The following is a 26,732-nucleotide window of genomic DNA, read 5'->3' on the forward strand; positions in this document are numbered from 1 at the left end:
GTGTTTTAGAATTTTCCTCATTTAGATTTTGCATATTTCTTTTCAAGTTTCACCTCTTTTTGTTGTAATTATAAATGGATGTTTTCTCTTCCATTACATCTTGTAATTGGTTATTTTTGTATATATGAAAGCTATTGATTTTTATAAGTTAATTTATATCCTACTGTCTCATTGAATTCCTTATTTAATTTCAATTAGTTTAATCATGAATTCTCATGGGTTTTCAAGCTTTACTATCATTTCATCTGCATAGAGAGTTTTTGCTTCTCAAATTTTTACACCTATATCTAATTGTATTGATTAACACCGACAAGACAATGTTAAATAGTAAGGAAGATAGCATCCTTATCTTATTTCTGGCCTTAGCAGGAATGCCTCCCAGGCTTCTCAATTAAATAAGATGCTAAGTTTAGGACAGAGGTACACGGATATGCATAAAGCACATATACACATGTACACATATGTAAACTGCGTGAAGTCTTTCTTTTTGAGTGCATTTTTTCTATTTCTATTTAATTGAGTGCATTTTTCAGGAATGAGTGTTGAATATTACTGAAGGTCATTTCAGCACCTATGGAGATAATTGTTTGATTTTTCTCCTTAAATCTATTAATAAGGTGAATTATATAAATTAATTTCTGCATATTTAAAGTCTGCATTCCTGGAATTTGATATTGATGTTTTATTAATATGGTGTTGGAAACTTTTGGCTAGTTTTTTAATCTAATTTTAGCATCTATATTTATAAAGGTAATTGGCTTGTAGATTCCTACAATAATAATGATCATTGTTATCACCATTAATATTAATCTTTATTAGGATTTGATAGCAACATTATATGGAGAATTTGGAAGTTCTCCATTTTATATACCTTGGAACAATTTATTTGAGATTATGTGATCTTTGAAGATTCATAGAATTCCCTTATGAAACCATATTGGTCCAGTGTTTCCACGTGGAATAATTTTTGACAACTTTCTTCACTTTTTTTCTACTCTGGAGAATGGTCTGCTTAAGCTTTCTATATCAAATGGGACCTGTTTTGGTAAATTACATTTTCATATGGTATAATCAATTTCATAGTTTCCAAATGTATTTACATAGAGTTTTGCAAAGTAGTCAACCTGTGATTTATTTTCCTTTTTATAATGATTATTTCCTTCTAGTCTTTTCTTATTTTGTATATTTGCTCTTTGCCTTTTTTTCTTGATTAGGTTAGTTATCAGTATATTGTTTTTCCTTTTTTCCCCAAAGAACCCATGTGTTAGTCCATTCTCATAGTGCTATAAGGACATACCAGAGACTGGGTAATTTATAAATGAAAAGAGGTTTCATTGACTCACAGTTCCACAGGGCTGGGGAGGCCTCAGGAAATTTACAATCATGATGGAAGGGGAAGCAAACACATCCTTCTTCACATGATGGCAGCAAGGAGAAGTACAGAACGAAGAGGGAGAAAATAGCCACTTATACAACCATCAGATCTCGTGAGAACTCACTCACTACTATGAGAACAGCATAGAGGTAACTGCCCCCATGATTCAATTACCTTCCACCAGGTCCCTCCCACAACACAAGGGGATTATGGGAACTACAATTCAAGATGAGATTTGGGTGGGGACACAGCCAAACCATATCAACCAGCATTTCGAATCATTAATTAGTTCTTTTTTTACTCTTTTGTATTACATTAATTTCCTCTTTTATCCTTATTATTTCCTGCTTTATACTTTCTTTTTATTTACTTTGTAATTTTTCTCGGTTTTTAAGTTGGGAATAAAATTTATTTATTGTAATTATTTTTTATTGATTCAAATATTTAATCCCACAGATTATCCTCAGATCACTGCTTTATTTCTCATTAAATCAGATGTGCATATTTTTATTCTATTATTGTTTTTTGAAATTCTGCAATTTTAGTTTGTATATCCTTTTTCACCCAATAGTCATCTAACAGATGTTAATTTCCAAGTAGAAGAACGTTTTTAAATTTTCTCATTAATTTCTACTTCATGGAACTCACTCAAAAACTTTCTTTGTGACTACAATGGGCTGAATGCTTATGTCCCCCTAAAATTCACATTGAATTGAAATCCTAATTCCCAAGGTGGTGGCATTAGGAGGTGGGGCCTTTGGGAGGTGATCAGGCCATCAGATATCTACCCTTATAAGTGGGATTAGTGCCCTTATAAAAGAGACCCCAGAGAGCTAGCTAGTCCCTGTCACTATGTGAGGACACAGCAAGAAGGTGTTGTCTATGAATGAGGAGGTAGGTCTTCAACAGACACCAAATCTGCTGGCACCTTGATCTTAGACTTCTTAGTCTCTAAAACTGTGAGAAGTAAACTTTTGTTGTTTCTAAGCCACCCAGTCTCTGATATTCTGCTATAGCAGCCTAGAGGAAGACAGTTACTCAACATGAGGTCAATTTCTGTGAACATTCTATTTGTGCTTAAGAAGAGAGTATATTCCCAATATTAGCAAGAGTGGAGGTTTCATATATATCTATAATGTCTACCTTATGAATTATGTTGATTAGATTTGAGTGTCTTTATTTTACGGTTTCCATTTGTCTGGAATACCTCTTTATTCTTAGTCTTTCTGAATCACTTTATTGTAGGTGTGTCTCAAATGTATCTCACAGAATTGAGTTTTGCTGTATGAGTCAATTTGAAAATATTTTTAATTGGGGATTTATGTAATTTATTAATAAGCTTATCAATAAATTATAATATAATAAATATAATTTAGTAATATGACTGATGTACATGGTCTCAACTTGTATTCTGTGTAAAATTATGTATATAATTTTTCTTTCTCAGTGTGGTTTATTTCATGTGATATTTATTTTTTGATATCTAGGAAGATTAATATCTTTGTTGCAGTGCTTACCTTTTTGCCACTACCTATTATAATGCCCTTAGTCTCTTTTCTCACATTTACTCTGCTACTTAGTGTTTTATTTGCTTCAAATTATATTCTTCATTCCCACCTATTGTCTATGCAACAATAGGTCACTTCAGTTTTGTCACCACATATAACAGTTGAACTGTTCTTCCCCCCATGACTCTGTCCTTGTTTAAGTTACAGATTTACATTGAAATATATTCAATGCTCACACAGTCCATTTTCCAGAGTTCTTCAGGTCCAGGTCCTATCTTGGTTAAATGATGTTTTTTCTATAGTAGGACCATTAAAGTTGGATAGTGATTGCAGTGTTCTCTGGGGTTCTGCACATAGAAAATCGCTTGATACTTGAAGCTTAGCTCATCTACATAAAAGCTATTCCACAGTTCCTTTAGTTTCCTGAAGATGTGACTGTGTTATTCTTTTACTTTAGATGAGAAGTCCGATTTTCTTTCCTATGTAAGTGATTTGATACTTTTGCCTGGAGATCTAGAAAAATTTTTTCTTTATCTTTAAATTACAATATTTTCCTAGTATATGTCTTGGACTTCACCATTCCAGGTTTATTTTCCCAGGGATACTGAGGAGCCTTTAAAGATGCAGATTCAAGTTTTCTTTTAATTTCAGACATTTCTCTTAGTCTGTGGTTTTAAATACTAGTGGTTTTCTATTGTAATGGCCTTCTTCTATCAATTATTTTCTCTCTGATCTCTTTTGCTTTGTTCCTTATTTTATTTTTATTCCCTTTTTTCATGGCTTTCCTCACTGTTTCATATTTTCAGTCAAATCTCTTTTTCCATGGGTACTTTATAACTTGGCCTTTATTTTTAAGATGATTTTGTCTTTTCCTTCCATATCTTTCCTGAGTTCACTCAATTCTTATTTCGCATTTTCCTGAAAAATAGGGTTTTTCACAAAATAATAGGGTTTTTTGGTCGTATTTCTTTTATAAAGCTTAAAACTTCTGATTTAAGGTTTTTGTTTTCTATCTTCACATGCTTGTTTTAGGATATTCAATTCAGTGTGGGTGTTCTGTTACAGTTTTCTTCCACCTCATATTTGATTTCGGTAGAAGCATTTTCATCTGCTGGAATGTTTTAATTCCTGTTTTTTTTTTTTAAGTTATTGGCCTTGTATGAGTGTCGTCTGCCATTTTCTATTCATTTTTAGATGTTTAAATATACAGTTGTAGATAGGCGCAGTCATGGCGTTTGATGACTGACCATGTTTCTTAGTTCAAGAGCACCCTCTTCTGTTGGCATGGGAAAGTGTAGTTTCTTCACTGACAGCAGCTTTTGTGGGGGAGGGGTTGGTGTGCCTTCTGAGCTTTGAGATCCACTTTTGCTTGGTAGGACACTCTTTCTTCGTTCTTCCCCTCCACTCAGACGCCTCTGAAGCCCTGCTGCCAAGCGGCCCCCTCTCCTCCAGAAATAGTGCCCTTTCCACAGGCCAGCCCAGCCCCATGGGCAGTCAAACCCTCCCTTTCATTCGCATCCTGAAGCAGCGCCCTCAGGCTACCTGGCCTGTGAGTTGTTCAAGCTATTTCTCAGTCAGGTGCGAAGTTCTCTTTCTGGAGGTTATTTTGTCTGTGGTTTTGGACACTAATGCCCCCAGGCACCGTTCTCCTTTTCCAAACAATCTTCAGGCTGAGTCTTTGCTCCAGCACTTGCTCTGGAGACCACCTTGAGCCTGGGAGTTTACTCCCTTATCTGTAGGTAATTTGAAGTTTGGAGTATTCTATCTCAGTTATATTGTGTGTGTATATTGTATGTTTTATTGTATGTGTGTATATGTATTTGTGTGTGTGCATATATGTATATATAGACAGAGAGAGGGAGAATCTGGAATCTGGAAGTTAAGTTATAGACTCAGGAAATTCTTAAAGCTGTTTTGAATATAAGATAAACTACAGTTTAGGATTACCAATAAAGCTTCACTAGACTCAGGTCTCCCAGCTTCCAGGCCAGTTTTCCTACTAACACCCCATACGCTCTTGGACAAGTCGTTTAACTTCTCTGGATGCCAGTTTTCTCTCTTGATGGAAAGCTATCTGTAAGTGTCTTTCCAGTAATATTCCATGTGTTTTAGACTGTTCCTCTAGCATTATGACTCTCTTCTCCATAGAATACACACAAAAGAAATTAACCTGCATCTTACAACTCAGGCCTCAGCATCACAAAGAAATTAAGTTCTGTGTTAACTGAGTCTTGGTGTCATGTAAATAAATATAAACTTGTTTCTCTCGCTGTTTCAAAGAGAACTGGGGTCTCTGTTCATTCGATTGGTAGCCCTCTAAGGGATGGGCGCTTAGTTGGGAGCTGCCACATGTCTGTGTTGGGTTTTATTTTTTCACAAGGCCAAAATGTTCCCTCTAGAACACACAGTCCTCACCAAGTTCAGAAAGAAGCCAACTGCCCTTACCTCCTCCCCTCTTCTCCATGCTCCTCTGGGCTCAGGGTCCTGCCTCTAGACCACTCCCCACAACATAAAACATCTCCATTCCTAGAGAAGACCATAATTTTAAATAAATAAAAATAGGGAAGGAACAGGGAAATTGCAAGGGTAAATGTGAAAATATTCAAGGTCACCATAACCACTCTTGTTCAATAATGTGAATTTATGTAGCATTCTCAGTTTTCATGTGCCTAAAATAATGATACATACTCCCCATCCATAGTGGCTGAAGAGGCAATATCACAGATGATTCATCCCAAAAGGGCCCTCCAAAGGTCATCCTGGCAATGCCCTTGCCTTGCTTTGAAATGACTCTTGCCTGTTATAAATAGATGCAAATATTGAGTGGGTAGGGAGATTCTCCTATTCTTAAAGCTGTCAAGGTCAGGAGATGAATCTGCCCCCTCAGTCACCTGCTCACAGGTTCCCACGACTCTGACATTCAGGAAGCCAAGAAGAGATAAACTTCCTTTATCAGGATCCAATCTTCAACACTAGTCATTTGAAAACTATATCCAACTGTCACTTGTAGATCCTCTATCTCTCTGCATCTGCATCCGGAATACTGGCAGCAATGACGACAACAATAGCAGATCAGCATAAAACCAAAAACACATTCATAAACACACACACATACACACTACACACACACATACATACATACACACATATACACACAAACACACACATGCACACATGCATACATACATGTACACACACATGCATACACACATACACATGCATACGCCATACAAATGCATACACATACACATGCATACACACACATATACAAACATCCATGTATACACACACATACACACATGCATATACATATACACATACACACTACACACATACACACATACGTGCATACACACATACATGCATGCATACACATACACGCATACACACATCCATACATACACACAAACACACATGCATATACACACGCACACACACACAATTAGGCAGAGTCTCAGAGGAAAGAGGAAGATCTGTTGAACTGAAAAGTATCCTTAGAGAAAGAATTGGGAAACCAGAGGCAGAAAAGAATAGACTTTCATAGCCCCTGAGCACTCCAAAATATTGCAGAGTTTCCTCATCTACTTTCATTTTCTCCACCAGCCCAGCTTCACCCCTAGAGGTCAAGAAGGCTCTTTTTGATTCTGTCAAAGTCTCCCTGGCCAACCTCTTTGTATAAGAAAACAGAAAAACATTCAGACACGAACCTGACCCTTTATTCTCCTGCTTAGACTCCTTCACTGGCATCCCCTATCTAAGCCCAGCTAAGCTAAGTCACATAGATAAATAGCTACTTTACCAAGTGGAATGTATCAAGTGTGATAAGAAATGCAGGGAGGAACTCAGTGAAAGAAGAAATTAATTCCAACTGGAGAGATCCAGTTCCACTGAGAAGGTGGTATTATACAGAGCCCCAGAGCAGGCATAGAGGTAGAAAGACTCCAAAGTGCAATGTTCTAAGAAACAGTGAGTGTGCTGGGCTGTAATGAAGAATGCATATCGTGAGGTGGCAGGATATATTGTCATCAGAGAGTAGGCTGGGGCCATGTCAGGGAACACCTGAAATGTAAAATTTCCTGTATCCTTGAATCACTTTTTTGGCTTCACTTTTCTTTTTCTTTTTTTTTTTTTTTTTGAGACGGAGTCTTGCTTTGTCGCCCAGGCTGGAGTACAGTGGCACGATCTCAGCTCACTGCAACCTCCGCCTCTCAGGTTCAAGCAATTCTCCTGTCTCAGCCTCCTGAGTAGCTGGGGATTACAGGCGCACACCACCACGCCTGGCTAATTTTTGTATTTTTTTAGTAGAGACAGGGTTTCACCAGGTTGGCCAGGCTGGTTCCGAACTCATGACCTCGTGATCTGCCTGCCTCGGCCTCCCAAAGTGCTGAGATTACAGGCGTGAGCCACCATGCTCAGCCTTGGCTTCACTTTTCTAATGTCTCCACATTTGGGATCCAGAATGGTTATCATATACCACAAGCCTGGTCATGTTTGATGCATCAAGATTTATAGCTTTTAAAGTGCTTTGAATTATAGACTAATAGATTAATAGATATTAATTAATAGATAAAAATAACAAAAATAGTCCACCTTTGGAAGTAATATGCTTAATGTGCTCTATGTAACCTTGGAGTGAACTGTTTCTGATAACTTCTTGTGGCCCAAAATGTTATCCTGCCCTAAAGAAATACTAACTGGCTCAGTTGAAGATGGGCATGGTAGTTTCCATGTGAGGATTAGAACAGCAGGAAGGTCCTTGCAGAAAGAGAGATAATATAGCCATTGCAAAACATTGTATCCAGTCTGCAAATGATCATCTTAGAGAAGTCCTTAAGCCCATTTATGACCTTAGAGCTAATTTTAACTCAAGTAGGAGAGCTAGTACAACATAATCATCAAATCAAGTACCAGGCAAAGAAATGGCAGAAATAAGACTCAAATCCAGGTTTAACTTGGGTGCAACCTGGGCAGTTAGAGCACTTCTCCAAGTGTCCTTGTCTGTAAATTAGAGATACAAAGAGTAGCTACACCTTAGAGTGACTTTGAGGATGAAATGTGGTAATAGACATTGAGCTTTTAGCACCATCCCTAGCACATAAAAGATGCTCAATAAATATTCAGTGATTACTGTTGAGTGAATAAATTAATAAATATAATTCAATACATGTTAATAATTCAACAATGAATTACTAACCATTAATAATGAATAATTCAGTAAATGTTATTAAAGGAAAAGGGGAAAATATAGATATTACTGTTCCCCATGGCTCATTATCACCCTCATGGATAAAGATAGCTGTTTAGAAGAGGGAAAAAAAGTGAAAACTGCAAAAGCAATTAAACATCCCCAGCAAACACAGGTTTGGTAGAACTAGAGAGAATGACAGGAGTCTCTGAAATGGCTCGGGACTAGGAGGAAAGACTTCTGGATCATGGTCCCGACCCTGACACTAATTGATGTGTAGTTTTAGGCAAGTCACATCACTTCTCCAGTCCTCAGGGTTTCTAACTTCAGAATGACCACATTGGGCTGACTGATCTCCAAGTTCCTTTGGCTCTCTGACTTAATCTGAGGTTATGAGATACCCGCCTGCAAAGTCTAAAGACCCTTGAAACCCAATGGCTCTTGAGGAGAAGTTTCTTAACAGTATTGCAGTTTAGTCAGGAGACTGAACTAGAGAACCCAGGTGGACATTCTTTCCAGCCAAAGACTCAATACTTCTGGAAAGATTAAGGTCACATTTGTTTCAAGAGTGTCCAGTACAACAAAGACCTTCCACAGGGAGTAGTAACTATTCCTGATAGGGAACCTCCAAACTGCAATAGGCTTTACCCTTTTTTATCTTTCCTCTTTCTTCGTGCCTCAAGTCAGATCATAGCAAGAAGAAACCTTGGAAAATCCCCTCTTCTCCTCCACACCTCCCAGAGATGCCCAAAAAGCAGTTTAATGCTTTTTCGTAGACTTAGAAAACAGTTCTGTTCTTCCCTGGGCTCAGAGAAGCCTCCCATTTTGGAGCTCTTATCTTCAAAACCTTGCCAGGGACAGGCACTGGTGATTCACAATGGTACTTAATGTGATTTAGACTTATAAATCAAGAGACCGCCTAAGAGTAAATTCCAGGGAGCCTTAGGCCAGACTCAGGGTCCCTGTGTGTAAACAATCAAGTCTAACCCCCTTGGCTGGCAGGCTCTCCTGTCTCAGGGGACAGGAGGTAGGACCGCCTCTTGTACAAGTCTTAACATCGTCCATGACCTCAGTCTGCTTCTAGTGGGACTTTGGGAGACCATCCTCTCAAACTTGAGCCATTTCAACCCAATTTCTCCTCCGTGATCCAAGGAGAAATAAGGCCTGCCATCTCTGCTGGGGGATCTTTCTGGCACCAGCTAGATGGATCCCTGGCACTTTGACTCACAATTCCTCCCCTTACACAAGACAGCAGTTCCTGAGGCCTGCATATTCCAGGCATGAAATTGACAAGAGCAATTCAGCTTTCATATGGGAGCATATGAGGTCAGCTCAGCTTTTGGCCTCTGCAAGGAGGGATGTAGAAAGTCTCCCCACAGGAATATCTGGTGGCATCCTGACACCAAGCCTCCTTTTATGTTTTCAAAATTTTTTAAAGTTTTATTTTGTTTTTAATTGACATATAATAGTCATATATATTTATGGGGTACAGTATGTTTTGATACATGTATACATTGTGTAATGATAAAATCAGAGTAATTAGCATATCTGTCACCTCAAAGACTTATCAAAGTTTCAGGATACAAAGTCAACACACAAAAATCAACAGTGTTTCTAAACCCCAACAGCAAACTATCCAAAAAAAAAATTAAGAAAACAATCTTATTTGCAACAGCTACCAAAAAAAAGAGTAGGAATAAATTTAACCCAGGAAGTGAAAGACCTCTACAATGAAACTATAAAATATTGATGAAAAAAAAGGACACGGCCAGGCACGGTGGCTCACGCCTGTAATCCCAGCACTTTGGGAGGCCGAGGCGGGCGGATCATGAGGTCAGGAGATCAAGATCATCCTGGCTAACACAGTGAAAACCTGTATCTACTAAAAATACAAAAAAATTAGCCAGGCGTGATGGCAGGCACCTGCAGTCCCAGCTACTCAGGAGGCTGAGGCAGGAGAATGGCATGAACCCGGGAGGTGGAGCTTGCAGTGAGCTGAGATTGCGCCACTGCACTCCAGCCTGGGCGACAGAGCGAGGCTCCATCTCCAAAAAAAAAAAAAAAGAAAAAGAAAAAAAGGACACAAATAAATAGAAAGATATCCTGTGTTCATGCATTGGAAAAATTAATAGGGTTAAAATGTCTGTACTACTCAAAGCGAGCTACAAATTCAATTCACTCCCTATCAAAATACCAATGATTTCTTCATAGAAATAGAAAAAAAAATCCTAAGATTAGTGTGGAACCACAAAAGACCCTGGATAGCCAATGTAACCTTAAGCAAAAAGAATAAAGCTGGAGGCATCACACCACTTGACTTCAATATCTACTAAAAAACTATAGAAACCAAACCAGCATGGTACTGGCATAAAAACAGATACAAAGACCAATGGAATAGAATACAGAACCCAGAAATATATCCAGGCATTTACAGCCAACTGATTTTTGACAAAGGCACCAAGAACAAACATTGGGGAAAGAATCATCTCTTTTATTCTAGTAAAACTGAATATCTACATGTAGAAGAATGAAACGAGACCCCTATCTCTCACCACATACAAAAATCAACTCAAAATGGGTTAAAGACTTAAATGTAAGACCCAGTGCTTTTTTAAAACTACTCAGCAAACGCTGGCTGTTCTGAGGGTTCAGGTGGCTTCTTAAATCTCTGTGTTCAAGGGCTCATGACTCATTTATACTTCCTGGAAAGTGTCAGGAACTATTTCCAAATGGGCAACTGGTGAGAGTGAGATGTCAAGGGCAGTGTGGCCTCAGTCTCCTAGCCTGCCCCTCATGGGGCGCCAGATTAGGGTGTCATTGCAGAAACGTATGTTCTTGGAGTTTGGTTTCTTTTTAGCATCCAGCCTCTCTGCAGTGATTGCTGCAACCTCTGAAGGAGCAGTTCTTTCTAGCAAGGACTTTTTAGGAGTTCCGTCTCCCCCATCGAGGTGTTAACCTTAAAATCTCATTTCTTCCCAGCTCCACGCTAACTCAGCGATCAATCTCCTCTTAAATTGAAAAGTGTTGTCTCTGAACTGAAAAGGAATCGAGGTTTATGGAGCCTGGTCTGCTGAGAAGAAATGAGGATGGGATAGCTGCCTTCAATGGCTGAATTCAAAGCTGTCAGGAGATCCAAAGAGCACACAGTCTGCATGGCACTCAGGTGTTAGACAAAGGAGGAAAAGTTAAAGATGGGGGATTTGGGATCAATATAATGAATACAGTTATCAAGCACAACAAAAGGCCAGACATTTTATACACATGGCTATTTTGTTCTCCTGAAACATCTATGAAATGGGGATTAGACTATATCAGGAAACAGGCTGGAAAGGAGGAGGTGCATTGTCAGGCCCCTGCAGCAGTCAGAGCACATATGGTGGATAAGCTAAAGGAAAATTCTGGATTGGATGGGAGAGTGGGTCAGTGATTCTCAACCAGGGGTGGTTTTGTGTCCCAGGGACATATGGCAACATCTGGAGACATGTTTGATTGTTATGAATTGGGGAGTGATACTGTATCTAGTGGGTACAGCCAGGGGTGCAGCTAAACACCCTCACAATGCACAAGACAGCCCCTCACAATAAAAAGTCCAACAGGCCCAAAATGTCAACAGTACTGAGGTTGAGAAACCATGCATTAAATGATCTTAAGATATCTTCAAACTCCAGAACTAAATTAGGGGCCTTAATTTTTCCTCTGCATAGATGGGATTCCATTTAGCCATCCAGTGTTTCTCAAAGTAGAGCAGGGAGAGGACAAGGATGTCAAAACTATCTCACTGGGACCCTTTTAAAACACTTAGTCTCTAGCCAAAGAAGACCCAAAAAGCTATAAAAGAAGCCCAAAAAGCAAACAAGTCCCCAAAAGCCTTTGGCCTCAAAGAAATGACATAAATTTTTCCTCTATTTCCTAAAGACTTCGCCATTAAATGTTCTGAATATAAATCTGCACCCCTGGGGAAACCAAGTTAGCTAAAGATTCACAAGGACTTGGTGGGAATATAGGAGATTCCAGAGAACTCAAAAGGAGAGGATGAAATGGATGAAATCTGCCAATTCAGTGAAAATCATTTTGATGAATGCCCAATTGGTACAAAAGCTAATTCCCTGAAAAGTCAATTTACTGAAAGCTAATGCCCAGGGAGTCAGTTCTTAGAAAGATCAATTTGCCAAATGACCAGTACACTCACATTACCAAATTCATATGTCATAATGTTTAATGAAAATATTTATCCACTTGATGCTCTGCATTGAATGAAAATCTTTTTGGAGCATTCTAATTTTTTACTGGAAATTTTCTTCTACCTAATTCTGATTTCTATCTTGAGTCTAGAATTAAATTTTAACTTATATTTAAAATTAATGTTATTTACAATTCTGCTTTATTTGAGTGCTTTTAAAGTTAATTTATTTTAGTTTCAAAGTTTATTGAAAATTTACTTTGCAGAAATTTGCTTTCTTCAGTTTATAGAAAGGATTGAAAAGAAAAGATAAAACCAAGGCCGGGAAGGGGTGTGAGGATGCCCAGAAAAGATTTCCCACACTAGTCCTGGTCCACTATAGTCAAGGAAGAATCAACTTAGAAACAGCAGGAGCAACCATATCACTTTTTTTTTTTTCCAAGACAGAGTCTCACTCTGTCGCCAGGCTGGAGTGCAGTGGCACGATCTCAGCTCACTGCAACCTCTGCCTCCTGGGTTCAAGCAATTCTCATGCCTCAGCCTCCCAAGTAGCTGGGATTACAAGCACACACCACCACACTCAGCTAATTTTTGTATTTTTAGTAGAGACTGGGTTTCACCATGTTGGCCAGGATGGTCTCGATCTCCTGACTTCATGATCCACCCACCTCAGCCTCCCAAAGTGCTGGGATTAAAGGCATGAGCCACAGTGCCCGGCCCCATATCACATTTTTAAATGTGGCTATCAATGACTAGAAATAATAAACCAAGGTAGATTGACTATATGAGAAATTGACAGCAGAATGCTAGAAATGCAAAGAAAAAAATGGCAGAAAAACACAAAATTGAGTTTTTTAAAAGGATCTCTAGTTGCTTAGCTGATTTACCAAAAAGGAATAATTTCACCTTTGTTGCAAACTATGACTTATTTCTGATAATATCAATAAAGTCTGCAGATTCCAATCACTACATATAAATGCTATGTATCAACACATTTCTGCAGGTGTATTTTGCAGGTAACCGAGTTTTTTTTTAAGCTACTTCTGCTTTTTATTGTATTTAAATGTTATTGCCCATTTTTTAAACCATTAAGCCCTTTTTAGTAGTGTACATCAACTCCTTATACAGGTTATCTTCCTTAATTATGTATTTCTGACAATTCAACATTTAAATATAATTTTATATTTAAATCCAAAATCATTGGAAGCATATTAGAATTTTAAATTAAATCTAAATTTAAAGTAATTATTTAAATATACAGAAAATCAAAAGTTTACATTTAAATTTGAAAACTAAATAAATCAGTTTTAAATTAAATTATATTAAAATCAGTATTTCAAAACCTACAAAGAAAATCAGAAATAGCCATCAGCCAAAACAGTTCCTCATACATATTGTCATAATATGAAAAATTACCATGTGAAATGTTGAAATGTTGTTAATAATGATAAAATATGTTTCTTTGTGTCACATTATTAGAAACAAAAATAAGACATTCCTGTTAAATTCGTCAAAAGATTCCTGGCAAAATGACTAAGCACTCTAGTCAAATCTTATAAAGGATTCAATTTGGTCAACTTGCACATTAGTAAATAGGTAAATTGATCATTTGGCAAATTTGCTTTCTAATACTTGCTTTTCAGGGAATTGACTCAGTCCCAAGGGTATTGAAATCTGGAAAAAGGGAGTAAATTCTAGAAGGAGGGTTTGAGGGGAGCTGGGTAAGCTGTTGTTTTTCCTGTAACATCCTTCTTAGAGGCTGCAGTCTGCCCTAGGGGCAAAGGCAAGAAGACTGAGTCAACGAGGTAACCAGCGGCTCTTCAGTTTGTCACCATATGTGGACCATATTCTCAGTGGCTGTGTGGAGATACAGAGGCACAAGTTCCTGACTCCAAGCCCCTTCCTTGTGAAGAAAATCAAACGCTTCAATTAACCAAAACTACTAAGCTTTATCAATGGAATCTATCCTTTTGGTGTGTATGCGTGCATACATCCATGTGTGCGTGTGTGGGCACAAATGATCAATGCAGATTACAAATGCTGGAAAGCTCAACAGACCTCCATACAGATGAGTAACTACAAGGTCATGCCATTGGATCTCCTGGTGAGAGTCAGTTAAGATCTCATTTCACTTCTAGGTTGAATGAACTGGCTTTCTGCTCATATGGGGACTAAGTAAAATATCCACTAACTGGTAGATTTTTTATGGTGTTTAATCTGGCATATCCAGATTAGTTGATGAATTGGTTCAGCTGGGAACTCAGGAAGCCCTGAGTGGCAACAGTGATTGGAGGCTCAGGTACAGAGGCTGACTTGCCTCTGCAGGCCAACATGAGGTTTTGGTTCACCACTCCACAAGGAAAGGGGACAGAAGGAGGCAGCCATATGCTCAGCCCCTCAGAAATGTGGAGCCCCTCAGAGGTGTGCTGTGCCTCACCCTTTGCAAACGTTATCTCCTGTACTCTTGAACAACTCTATGAGTAGACAACTTACAAATGTATAGCCCCCAGTCTAGACTCTTCTATGTCTGTTGCTTTCCAACATTGTTTTAGTCTGTTTTCTGTGGCTTGTAACAGAATACCTAAAACTGGGTTACACATAAAGAAAAGGAATGTATTTCTTACAGTTATGAAGGCTGAAAAGTACAAAGTCAAGGGTTCATATCTGGTGAGAGCCTTCTTGATGGTGGGGACTCTATACAGAGTCCCAGGGTGGCACAGGGCATCATGTGGTGAGGGGGGGCTGAGCTCAGATCTCTGTCCTGCTTATAAAGCCACCAGTCCCATTCTCATGATAAACCTCTAATCCATTAACCCATGAATGGGTTAATCTATTCTTAGGAGCAGAGCTCTCATGACCCAATCACTTCTTAAAAGCTCCACCTCTCAATATTGCCACACTGGGGATTATGTTTCAACATCAGTTTTGGAGGAAACGAATATTCAAACCATAGCAAACGTCCAGTTGGCAAATGAGAGTTGATTCCTGTGCAATGTCTTTTCCCAAAGGTAGCTTTCTCTGGCCTTCCAGTTACAGGATCCTGCAGCATCACAGATGCTCTGCTTCATGTAATGTTTGATTTAGCACATAGCAGATTATACAAATCATAAAACCATGGACAACTTTTACTTGCCATTGTATCTTAAGTACCTACCATAAAATATGTAAAAAGAGAGCTCAAATAACATTTGTTGACGCAAAATTAATGAATAATTTAACTTTCTACAGTATTGTTGTCTTTCTTTTGAAGCTAATAAAACTGAAGCAAAGAGAGATTAAATGACGACTCCAAGGACACACAGCTAGTAAGTGCTAGATCCAGGATTTAAACCCCAACCACTGACGATGGCTCCACTGTGCCATCTTAACATTAATTGACACCCCTCTTAGGCACTGTACTGGTTGCCTCTTAACATTTAACCCATTTTATTCTCTCAAGGGTCTTATGAAAGTGTTCATGTCATACAATTTAGAGATGAGAAATCAGGCCCAGAGAAAACCAAAAACAGAGCTAGAAACTGCTGGAAATGCAGTTTGAACCCAAATTGTCTGACTCCAATTTTCTTTTCAATATATAGAGGCAGTATTATATAATGTATATTAATTAATATATAATGTTAGTAATAATATCATTACTATATAACATATGTCTATACAGTCCACAAATTATTTTAAAACTTATCACCACACCTCACACCCACCAAAAACTCTGTTAGACAGGAAGAGTTACTTTTTTTCATCAGTAGGAAAGCTAAAGTTCTGAGAAATTAAATGCCCTGTTCAAATTCACAGGGCTGGTCAGTGGCAAATCTTAGAGATTTTTTATCCCATGCTGTCCTACATGTTAACCACCTGCCACACACTAAAATTTTAATGAATTAAAATTAAATAAAATGTAAGAGTCAGTTCCTGTTGATTCAACAGTTGCATTTCAAATGCTCAATAGCCACTGTGGCTAGTGGGTACCATATTGGAGAGTATAGGACATTTCTGTCACTGCAGAAAGTTCTATAGAACAGCACTGAATTCTTGCTACTACAGGGCAACAGCAGAAGCATCACCTGGGAGCTTATTAGAAATGCAGAATCTTTGGCCCCACCCCAGACCCATGGAATCACAACCTGCACTTTAGCCAGATCCATGGAAGATTTGTGTGCATATTAAAGCACTGACTTAACCACTCCACCTTAATTTTGCAGATGAGAAACTAAAATCCAAAGAGATGAACCAACTCAGCTAAAGTCACATCCAGGGTTAGGGGTGAAGCTGGGGCCAGAAGTCGGGACTCCGGCCTCTGCTACTCCGCCTGTGAGGAGGCACCAAGCCAGAGGGGCCTTGGTGGCGCCTGGCAATGGAACAGGGAGAGTGCTGATGGCTCCCTCCCTGCAGAAGCAGATAAGAGAGCAGTGGTGCTTGCCCAAAGAGGAGGATGATGCCGGTGTCCGGCAAGTCTAAGAGGCCTGGGAAGGGAGGGAAGCTGGCTTTGGTCCCTCCCACCTCCCATCCAAGCTGAGAAGCAACAATAGAGAGCTGCCAGGCTAAGGGGGACAGGGTCCACTGACAGGCCAGGACTGTAGCCAAGAGAGTGTTGATTACGAAGTTCTCTCTGCCACAATGAGGGTGAGGGAGACTTCAGTCTGAATCCCTTTGGTGGGCTGCGTCCAGCTGCTCTTCTGTCCTGGGCTGCTACCCAATCTTCCCACTGCATCACCATGAAGAGGATGCCTTCAGCCAAATGAGAACCCAAACTGTCTCCATTTCAATGCTTTCAATTTAGTTAATTTAAAAAGAAGAAAGAAACAATACGCCCTTAGCATATATCAGGATCTGAAATTCTCAATCCACTTGCTACTGACACAGAATTTTAACTCATATAATGGTTTTAAAACATTCCCACAAATTCTTTGACAGTCCTCTATTGAGAGGTAGGGTCCACCTCCCCACCCCTTAAATAGGAGCAGGCTTATAATATTTTGTTCAATAGTGCATAGCAGAATGAGGCTAGGCGATGACTAAAGCTAGGTTCTAAAGAGCTTTGCAATTCCACCTTGTTCACTGGGACACTCACTCCTGGAGCAGCAGGTATCCATGTAAGAATTCCCAGTATGCCATGACCATGATGCCAAAGAGGCTGCAAGTACATGCTCCAGATGACACCATCCTAACCATGGCACCAGATATATGAGTAAAGAAATCGGCCGGGTGCGGTGGCTCACACCTGTAATCCCAGCACTTTGGGAGGCCGAGGAGGGTGGATCACAAGGACAGGAGATCAAGACCATCCTGACTAACACGGTGAAACGCTGTCTCTACTAAAAAAAAAATACAAAAAAATTAGCTGGGCGTGGTGGTGGGTGCCTGTAGTCCCAGCTACTTGGGAGGCTGAGGCAGGAGAATGGGGTGAACCCAGGAGGTGGAGCTTGCAGTGAGCAGAGATTGAGCCACTGCACTCCAGCCTGGGCGACTGAGTGAGACTGTGTCTCACAAAAAAAAAAAAAAGAGAAATCACTGCATGTTCTCACTCATAAGTGGGAGTTGAACAATGAGAACACATGGATACAGGGAGGGGAACAACACACACCAGGGCCTGTCGGGGGTTGGGGGCAGGGGGAGGGAGAGCATTAGGACAAATACCTAATGCATGCAGGGTTTAAAACCTAGATGACAGGTTGATAGGTGCAGCAAACCACCATGGCACATGTATACCTATGTAACAAATCTGCACATTCTGCACATGTATCCCAGAACTTAAAGTAAAATTTAAAAAAAGATTTTTTTATAAATGTTAACATAGAAATTATAAAAGACAAAGCCCAATTTTCTGATTAAATTCTTCCAGAAAAAAAAAAAAAAAAGAAGTCACCTTGGAAGTGGATCCTCCAGCTCCAGCGATTCCAACTTCCCACGCTTTGAGTCATCGAAGCTGAGGACCAGCACATTGTGGAGCAGAGAATGACTCCACTGAGCCCATTCTGAATTTCTAACCCTCAGAATTTGAAGGTCATGATAAAAATGGTTGGCATTCTACACCACTATGTTTTGGGGTGATTTTGCAGCAATAAATAAGAAGACAGGATATAAGAGAGGTATATTGCGCTACGAAATGGGTGGGTTCTCAAGAGAAAGGTCTCTCTCCAACCGTCAGGTTAAAAGCAAGTTTCTTAGAGCTGGTATGCTCAGATTTGCATTCCAGATCTGCTTCTCAGTGATTCTCCGCACTTGGGTGGGTTGCTTAACCTCTCTAGCTGCTTCTGCAAAATGGGATTCTTGTGGTGATGATTAAATGGGAGAATGCTCCCTTCAGGGAGTGGATCACAATGAAAAACAGTACCTGTATGTGCCATCGGCTTTGCAGTTCTCAATGCATGGCCATGAACACAGAGTGTTTATAAAAATGTGTTTTGATGAAATAATGGCTAAGTGGTCTGGATTTTGGAGATTAGAAATGATGTAAATTTAGGGGGCTAGAAAAGTATTTTAGCCAGTAGCTCTGCTCAGGAAGTAGCCATGTAGTATATCAATTTGCCTCCATGGTCTGGGAGTTGTGACATGTCATCTATTTAGATGACATTGACAATATTGTAATCAAAAAGGAAGAAATGCCAAATCTAGAATGTACTATGCTTCAGATGATGCCTTTGAGGTCTGGAGTCCTGGCTGTGGTCCTGTACCTTGTTTGACTTCACAATGGGCCACCTGGTCTAGAAACTGACTTCTGTGATCTTGCATTGTCTTCTTGTGACCTTATGATCTAGTTCTCTCCCGAACTAAGACCTCTATTAGAAATGACCCTCCATCACATCACTAACACTAGCATGTCATACCTCCCAGGCTGGAAGTTCTTCTTGGGGTCTAACTTTAGTGATCTCTCTCTCTCAATCTCTCCACTCCCACGTTTTCTTCCCTCACTCCCTCTTACACACACACATACATATCTCACATTTCTCATTCCAGTTCAGTCCTCACAGAAGCTGGAATAGAGATAATCAACTTCTTAGAATTAAAGCATCCTCTTTTTGTTCAGTACTGGCTCTTTAGTTACTGTTTCTCTTGTCACAGTCCAGGCGAGAAAATGTCAAGAATGTCGGATAGAGAGAGAGAGACAGAGGAGACAGAGTAAGAGGTGTTTTCCAGAACTGAGCACCACAAGTGTGGCTGCTGGGGTGTCCTGCAGAGAACACAGAAGCAGCATCCACAGCCCTGCCATCCTGAAGTCTCCTTCCTCTCTTCCAAAGACTGACGCCAGCAGGCTCCGTCAGAAAGGAGAGCCAATGGTGGAGAAAGGGAAGGAACTTTATCTTTGGAATTCTGTCTTCTCAGTGGTCCAGAAAATTCAAACAGGGCCAGGCACTCCATGTATCTTCCCAGATGGGCATCAGGTACCTGACACAACCTGGCACCCCACATTCTTTCTCCGATTTCCCTGTCATCAGGGGCTTGACAACTCTAGCAGCCAGGGAGAGGCTCTGGGTGGGGCAGTGGCAGGGAGGTTGGAGGAATGTGTTCCAGCCCTGGAGCAGGGAGGAGAGCAGGTGTCTCTTCTAGCAGCAGCTGGAGGGTTGGAGGTGATGGAAAGGTGATATTGCAATCAAGAATGCAGGCTGGGATTGAGAAGGTCAGACCTGCCATTTTGCCATTTCTGATCTCTCAAGATAGACACAATTTCAGGGTTAGAATGAAAGAGGAGTAGAGTGAGACAGAAAGAAAGCACAGAGATAAACAGTCTGGCTTCATTCTTTTCCTGGCTTTGGACATGCTCTTCCCTTATTTTTCTACCTAAGAAGAGGTCTTGCAGTGTGGACAGAATCCTCTGGATTCCGCTGCCATTGGGTTTTGCTTCATTTCTCTTAAGTTAACTTTTTGGAGCTTCATTTTCTCCATCTGTAAAATGAATTGCACAACCTCAGAGCTGTAGTAAGGATTAAATAAGATAACACAGATGAAATACCCTAGCAAAATACTTGACCAACTCAACATTCTCTAAGTGTTAGTTCCCTCCCCTCCCCTTCTCACTGTGCACCTTCAAGAGAGAAAACAACCTCTCTGTCAAAAATTGGCCAGAGAACAAGGTGCGGGCAGAGGTTCTGAGACATTAAATGGCAAGTTGCCGCAACTCTGATTCAAAGCATGTAATCATTGTGAAGTCAACCTTCATAGCTGATATTTTGCACCTGTTCTTAAAGAGCTCTATGCCTTTCAATTGGATGAGCTTAGTCATCTTCATGAACTGAAGATGCTCTGGGTGAAGTCAAGAGCAAAAGTACCTTTTATGCCCAACTCAGGTTGGAGAGTTGCAACCTAGGAAGTGAAATGCTTTTCCCAATGCTCGTCAGGAAGGACAGAGACAGAAGGGAGACTGGCATATTATGGATTATTCTTCAATAACTTCTCTATTATTGAAGAATAATCCATAATATGCTGGTTGCATAATATGCCAGTTGCATATAAGTCTCAGGTTGCAGAGATCTTAGCAATCCAGAGATATTCTTTTATGATTGGTTAATACTCAGGGCTTCCACAAAAGAACCTTGCAAAAAATTGTGGAGGCTTTACAAGACTAGATAGAGACAGAATTCTCACAGTGTTCTGTCTCCTGAGAAGGAACTGGGTGGTGTCCACTGGTTCTCACTCCCTTAGACAATCCTGCATGTGTGGATTCAGGATTCCACAGGCCCCGCTGAGACACCTAGCTTCCAAAGCTCCATACAGCTGATGAGTCACGGAATCTTGAGGAGAATGTGCCCTAAGTCAGAAGCTCTCCAGGGATGCAATTTTCATCCACCCAAAAACCACTTCCCTCCAGCCTAAATATTAGGTAACAGCATGCATCTGGAATGCCCAAGTGCCTATAAAAGATTATTACTAAGTAAGAGTAGATGATGATAATTAATTACCCTCCATTAAAGACAAAGTCCCTAGAGCAAATGCATCAAAGGCAATATTTTACTGAGTTGGCGATTTCTTTGGCTCTGCAACAAGGTGACTCGTTAGCCTGCATCTTGAGTCCATTTCTCTCTCTTGCATTCTGGCTTGTGGAATATTCCTTTTGACTTTGGACAATTTCATTTAATTTCCACCTTTCACCCCATCTCCCATCCAGTAATCATTATTACTAAAACTTCACACTAGGCCACAGATCTATTTTATAGCACCCCTTTGATGGATTAATTTATGGTAACTCTCCTTCATTACTAAAGCCCAAATCAAAGAAAATGCTCTTAGAATGGTGACCTGCCATTTTGCCATTTCTGATCTCTCAAGATGGACACAATTTCAGGGTTAGATGAAAGAGGAGTAGAGTGAGGCAGAAAGAAAGTATAGGGATAAACGGTCTGGCATCATTCTTTTCCTGGCTTTGGACATGCTCTTCCCCTTATTTTTTTTTTTTTTTTTTTTTTTTTTGAGACGGAGTCTCGCTCTGTCACCCAGGCTGGAGTGCAGTGGTGCGATCTCAGCTCCCTGCAAGCTCCACCTCCTGGGTTCACGCCATTCTCCTGCCTCAGCCTCCCAAGTAGCTGGGACTACAGGCACCTGCCACCACACCCGGCTAAATTTTGTATTTTTTTTTTAGTAGAGACAGGGTTTCACCATGTTAGCCAGGATGATCTTGATCTCCTGACCTTGTGATCCGCCCGCCTCAGCCTCCCAAAGTGCTGGGATTACAGGCGTGAGCCACCACACCCAGCCCCCTTATTTTCTACCTAAGAAGAGGTCTTGCAGTGTGGACAGAGCCTTCTGGATTCCACTGGCATTGGGTTTCTGCTTAACTTCTCTTAAGTTAACTTTTTGGAACTGCCAAAAAGTTAACAAGAGAAGTTAAGTTAAACAAAATCTACCTGCCAGCCAACACAAGAAAGACTACAGAAAATAGACATCCAAAGAGATCATAGGATTGATCTCCTCCTCAACAAATCCACTTAATGGGTAAAAGTGGTCAGAACAAAGTGTGCTATGATTCCAGAAGAAGTCAACGGACTGGGCCAGATTTCCTCCAATCTACGACAGAATCTATGAGTAGCACGTTACTCTGTGATTCTTAGGAAACATCTTCTCTTGTCCTATAGTTCTTAATCAGCAGACCTGTGACCACTGGGAGAGGTCTGTGATTACTGAGCAAAGTTGACCACAGAAAGAATATCCATATTCTCAGAACCTCATCATGACTAATCTGGGAAGCAATCTTGGAATATCCATGTTTCCTGAAAAGAGTACAGAAGCCGTGGAATCAGGACCTGAGAAGGCTGTGTAGTTCCTGGCTTTGTGACCAGGAGACTCTCTGGAAGTCAGTCTCCTTATCTGTAAGAAAAGACAAGGAAATAATTCTTATCTAATGAGTTCTTGGGAAATTGGGAGGAGATAATTGATATGTGTCAGCATGTTGCTCAGCTCCTGGGTATGGTGCCTTCCATCACGTCAGATAATCACCATCTTGCAAGAACAAGGGCAGGGCCATGAAGCAGGCCAAATGCCAGAAGACTGTCTGGACCTTTGCAGGTACCAAACACATCCTTGTTGAATGAATCAATGCAATCATATCTATGGTTTGTGGCTAGGGCAGCCAGAAGATTGGTAGACTGGCATCAGTAAGAGCTATCTGGACATATAGGAAGTGCTTTCCAATTGTTGAGTCGCAGAGATCTTAACAATCCAGAGATATTCTTTTGGGATTGGATAATACTCACAGCTTCCACAAAAGAACCTTGCAAAAAGTTGTGGAGGCTTTACAAGACTAGATGGAGCCAGGCCTCCATCAGCCAATTCTGGAGAAACACTTGTATGCTGGAAAACTGTCCCTGGGACAAAAAAAAAAAAAAAAAAACAACAACAACAACAACAACAACAAAACAGCATGACACTGATACCAACATTTTAATCACGATAATTATTGTTAGTGCTTGGCACAGGCAAACTCCTAATCTCTGTAACCTGGTAAGGGTTCTTTTCTAACCAAGGACTCAAGGATCAAGTTGTCTCTTCATCTCAGCATATGCCTTTCATGGTTGCCCCAGCAAGGTAAAGAAAGATCGAGGTAGCACAATGCCTCTTTACTGCTTTGGCCCCAGTATGGCACAGATCATTGCTGATCACAGCTATCGGCCAGAACTAATCAAATGGGCCTAATCCAACTGCAAAGGGAGCACCTGAATAATAAGTGAGCGCTAAATGTCTCTACCACTGCTGAGGACTCAACAGAGGGGCAGTCTGATGTCTCACCATGCTGATAGCCAGGAAGCTCTGGATTTCCTCCCTCTATGTTTTAATGACTTAACCAGGGGTGGTAAAGGAGGCCTTTAGAAAAGATTCTCAAACACAGGGGCCCAGGGATCCCTGGGAATCATTTCTTACTTTGCCATCATCTTTTCTCCCTTTTTTTTTTTCTAATAGATAGCTCTCAGAGGGGATTACCAAAGCAATTTTATGGTCTTTATAGCTGGTTCTCTCCCCAGTAATTCAGCTGAGAGTCAAAGATCACAGAAAACCTGGCACCTCCCTCATCTCACTATCTCTCTGGAGAATGTGGGCCCTCCTCCCTCTCTGGAATACATGGAGGCCGCCAATTACAACATAGATTCTCCTGCCAGCTTCAGTGCTGTCTGCCAGGAGTAGGGCTACTCCCAAGAGGTTGACAACCTAAAAGGCCTTCATCACTATTCAGAGAGCCATAGCCCTGGTCCCCACAAGACTTTAAAAATGGCTCCCTTTGGGTAATTTCTAGTGCTGCTTTGCTGAAGCTCCTTGCATACCAAAGTTTATAGCAAGAACCAAAGCACCTGCCATGCCCCACTCCCACCCACCCCCTTCATACCCTTCTCCCTTGCTCTACCATCCTTCACCTGGGCTTCTGACTCAGCCTGCAGATAGCCTACAGGTCAAAGTCCACTTCCACCTGACCAGCCTGTGACTCTCTGAAAAACAGACCAAAGCTAGCCTGAGGCTTTTAGGGGAAGGAAACATAGGCAGTTTGAAGTCCTAGGGGCTGAAAACTTAGGCCTACGTTTCTGGCTATACTTTGCCAAGTTTTTTCCATGAGCATGAGACTGTGGCAATTCTGAATTGTCCAATCCCTGGCTGTGGTTCAAGCCACACTTCTAGTCACCTTCGCAATACACCCCTTACCATCTCCAGCTCCCCGACTGCCCTCCATCTCCTGGACCTCTCAGAGCCCCAGAATTTTCCTGCAGCCAACATATTGAGAGTCTTGTAAAAGCTGAATACAAGAAGAAGAAAAAGAGAGGCCAAGCTTATTAAACTCCTCTTCAGCTGGCTGCATGGATTCTTTTAAGTCCACTGTTGGATTTCTTTGAGGTCTCAGTACGTGCTGACTTGCATGGCTGGTTTGGGGGATAGGGAAAGGAGGTAAGAAAAGCTTTGCACTGGATAAATAAAAATCCCTTTGTTAATTAAGGAGACATTAACAAGACCATGGCCTATATCAGGCAGCCTACACAGAAGGTTTGATTCTTCAGGAATTAAAAACAAGGAAATAGAGAAACTCCCCCACCACACTGCATAACTTTGTTCTAGGGCTGCTAAGTTATTCCCTGCTACTACATCAGCTGTGAGAGCCCTGTGAAATATGCTGTGGTTAAAATAAACTCAAGCACCTAAGCATATTTTTTTAGATGTGTTAGGTTATCTAAAACAGTTCATCTCCTCTATCTTCTCTTTGAAAAAAAGCCTAAATTATTAATTTTCTATCCAGTCATTTTATGTTTTCCTGCCCTGTCTGTCCTCTTCATAGCAGCCCAATCTGAATGAGAGACATGAACAAAGTGATTTAAGAATTGTTGACTGGAAAAGGAGTAAGGTGATACACCAATAGCCCTGGTCCACACAAAACCTTACAAATGGCTTCCTTTGGGTGATTTCTAGTGCTGCTTTGCAAAAGCTCTTTGCATGCCAAAGCTTATAGCAAGGACCAAAGTGCCTGCCATGCCTCCTGCTCCCCACCCCCTTCATAGCCTTCTCCCTTGCTGTACTAGCCTCACCTGGGCTTCTGAATCAGACAGGTTAGGATCAGAGGTCCAGGTCTTCCTCTCTCATGGACAGGTTGCATAGCCTGTTTGAGATTGGATTTCTTCATTTATTCAGTGTGAGCAGACTATGAAATGTTGGAGATTATATGTGATTGTTTATAATGTTCCTAATACACTCTAGGTGTTCAATCAATTACACATTGAAGAATGGCATTATGAAATCACATTGTTATTATTAACACCACCTTCCACTCTTTCTTTACTTCCCTTGAACAGATCCAGTCTACCCCAAAAGGACCTTAGCCATTTCCACATAACCTAATCAGTAAACTGGGCTCATTAAACTTTTCTAAAAGATGTGAATAGGGCAGACAGAAATTGATATGGTTTGGCTGTGTCCCCACCCAAGTCTCTTCTTGAACTGTAGCTCCCACAGTTCTCAAATGTCATGGGAGGGACCTGGTGGAAGGTAATTGAACCATGGGGGCAGGTCTTTCCTGTGCTGTTCTCATGACAGTGAATAAGTCTCAGGAGGTCTGATGGTTTCATAAGGGGGAGTTTCCCTGCACAAGCTCTCATTCTGTCTTTGCCTGCTGCCATGTAAGACATGCCTTTTGCCCTCTGCCATGATTGTGAGGCCTCCCCAGCCTCACATGGAACTGTGAGTTCAATAAACCTCTTTTTCTTTATAAATTACCCAGTCTTGGGTATGTCTTTATCAGCAGCATGAAAATGGACTAATACAGGAATACAACAGCCTCAGGTCACTACAAGCTCAAATTAATGCCCTGCCTTCTGAAAAATTTACACATCTCCCTCCTCTTTCCACTTATTGAACACTTTTATATGGCTGACCCTTTGCTAAGCTCTTTGCGTGCATGGTTTCAACTGGACATCACAACTCTGCTGTTTACAGGAACCCTGGGATCCTGGCTGCTGAGTTGCTTAGAGTCTCTCCAAATTTAACCACCAGCCTGCTATAAAAACCTCTTGTAGCATCCCCAAACCCCAAACAGATCATAGAAACTCTTAACTTTGGGCAGACATCATGCTTTTTATGTCACAGAAGCCAGTCTCATGAGTTTCTGGGTAACAGTCACTGGTATGTAATCCTCCCAAAATCCTCTCCCATAGGACATTACTTGATTGCTCCCTCTGGGTATGAGGTGTCCTAGAACGAGCCCGGCAAGGACACCAAAATTGTTTTCACAAAACCCTTGTATTACTGCTTCCTCTTCCTATATCTGGTAGTTCCCCAGTGGCTATTCTAAAGTTAACCTTGTAGTCCTCCTTTCCCATATTGCATCTGTAGGGAAATGAGACACAGATACACAAGCAGCTGGGAATTCTTGTGAGGCTGAAAAGATGAGAGTTGAAGGTTCATGGATTTTGAGCAATCACTAGCGAGTAAATCACATCCGATCTTTCTAGTGCAAGGAGCAATATGCTCATTATCTCATAACTACAGAAGAGTATGCCAAGGCCAAGATGCCAGACTGTCTGGTCT

At 40.8% G+C, this 26,732-nt stretch overlaps 1 long non-coding RNA gene across 12 annotated transcripts in view, besides 1 other annotated feature; it reads right to left on the reverse strand.

The window, feature by feature from the left end:
• The window catches only part of DIRC3 (disrupted in renal carcinoma 3), a 506,425-nt gene that overhangs the window by 222,765 nt on the left and 256,928 nt on the right, over positions 1–26,732 (reverse strand). Inside the window, exons 5-6 of one of the 12 annotated variants that reach the window (NR_186293.1) lie at positions 5,329–5,409; positions 1,344–1,412 (exon numbers count right to left, since the gene is read on the reverse strand). The exons of the other annotated variants lie outside the window; for them this stretch is intronic. This is a non-coding gene — a long non-coding RNA (disrupted in renal carcinoma 3). The remainder of the gene's footprint in view (positions 1–1,343; positions 1,413–5,328; positions 5,410–26,732) is intronic. 12 annotated transcript variants of the gene reach the window in all.
• Positions 4,083–4,172: a silencer, noted in NCBI's record as "silent region_12307". NCBI's record gives its function as "represses an Ori minimal core promoter by ATAC-STARR-seq in GM12878 lymphoblastoid cells {active_cell/tissue: GM12878}" and the evidence as "EXISTENCE:reporter gene assay evidence [ECO:0000049][PMID:35858748]".

This window comes from Homo sapiens, chromosome 2, assembly GCF_000001405.40.
Source record: "Homo sapiens chromosome 2, GRCh38.p14 Primary Assembly".
Lineage (NCBI taxonomy): Eukaryota > Metazoa > Chordata > Mammalia > Primates > Hominidae > Homo > Homo sapiens.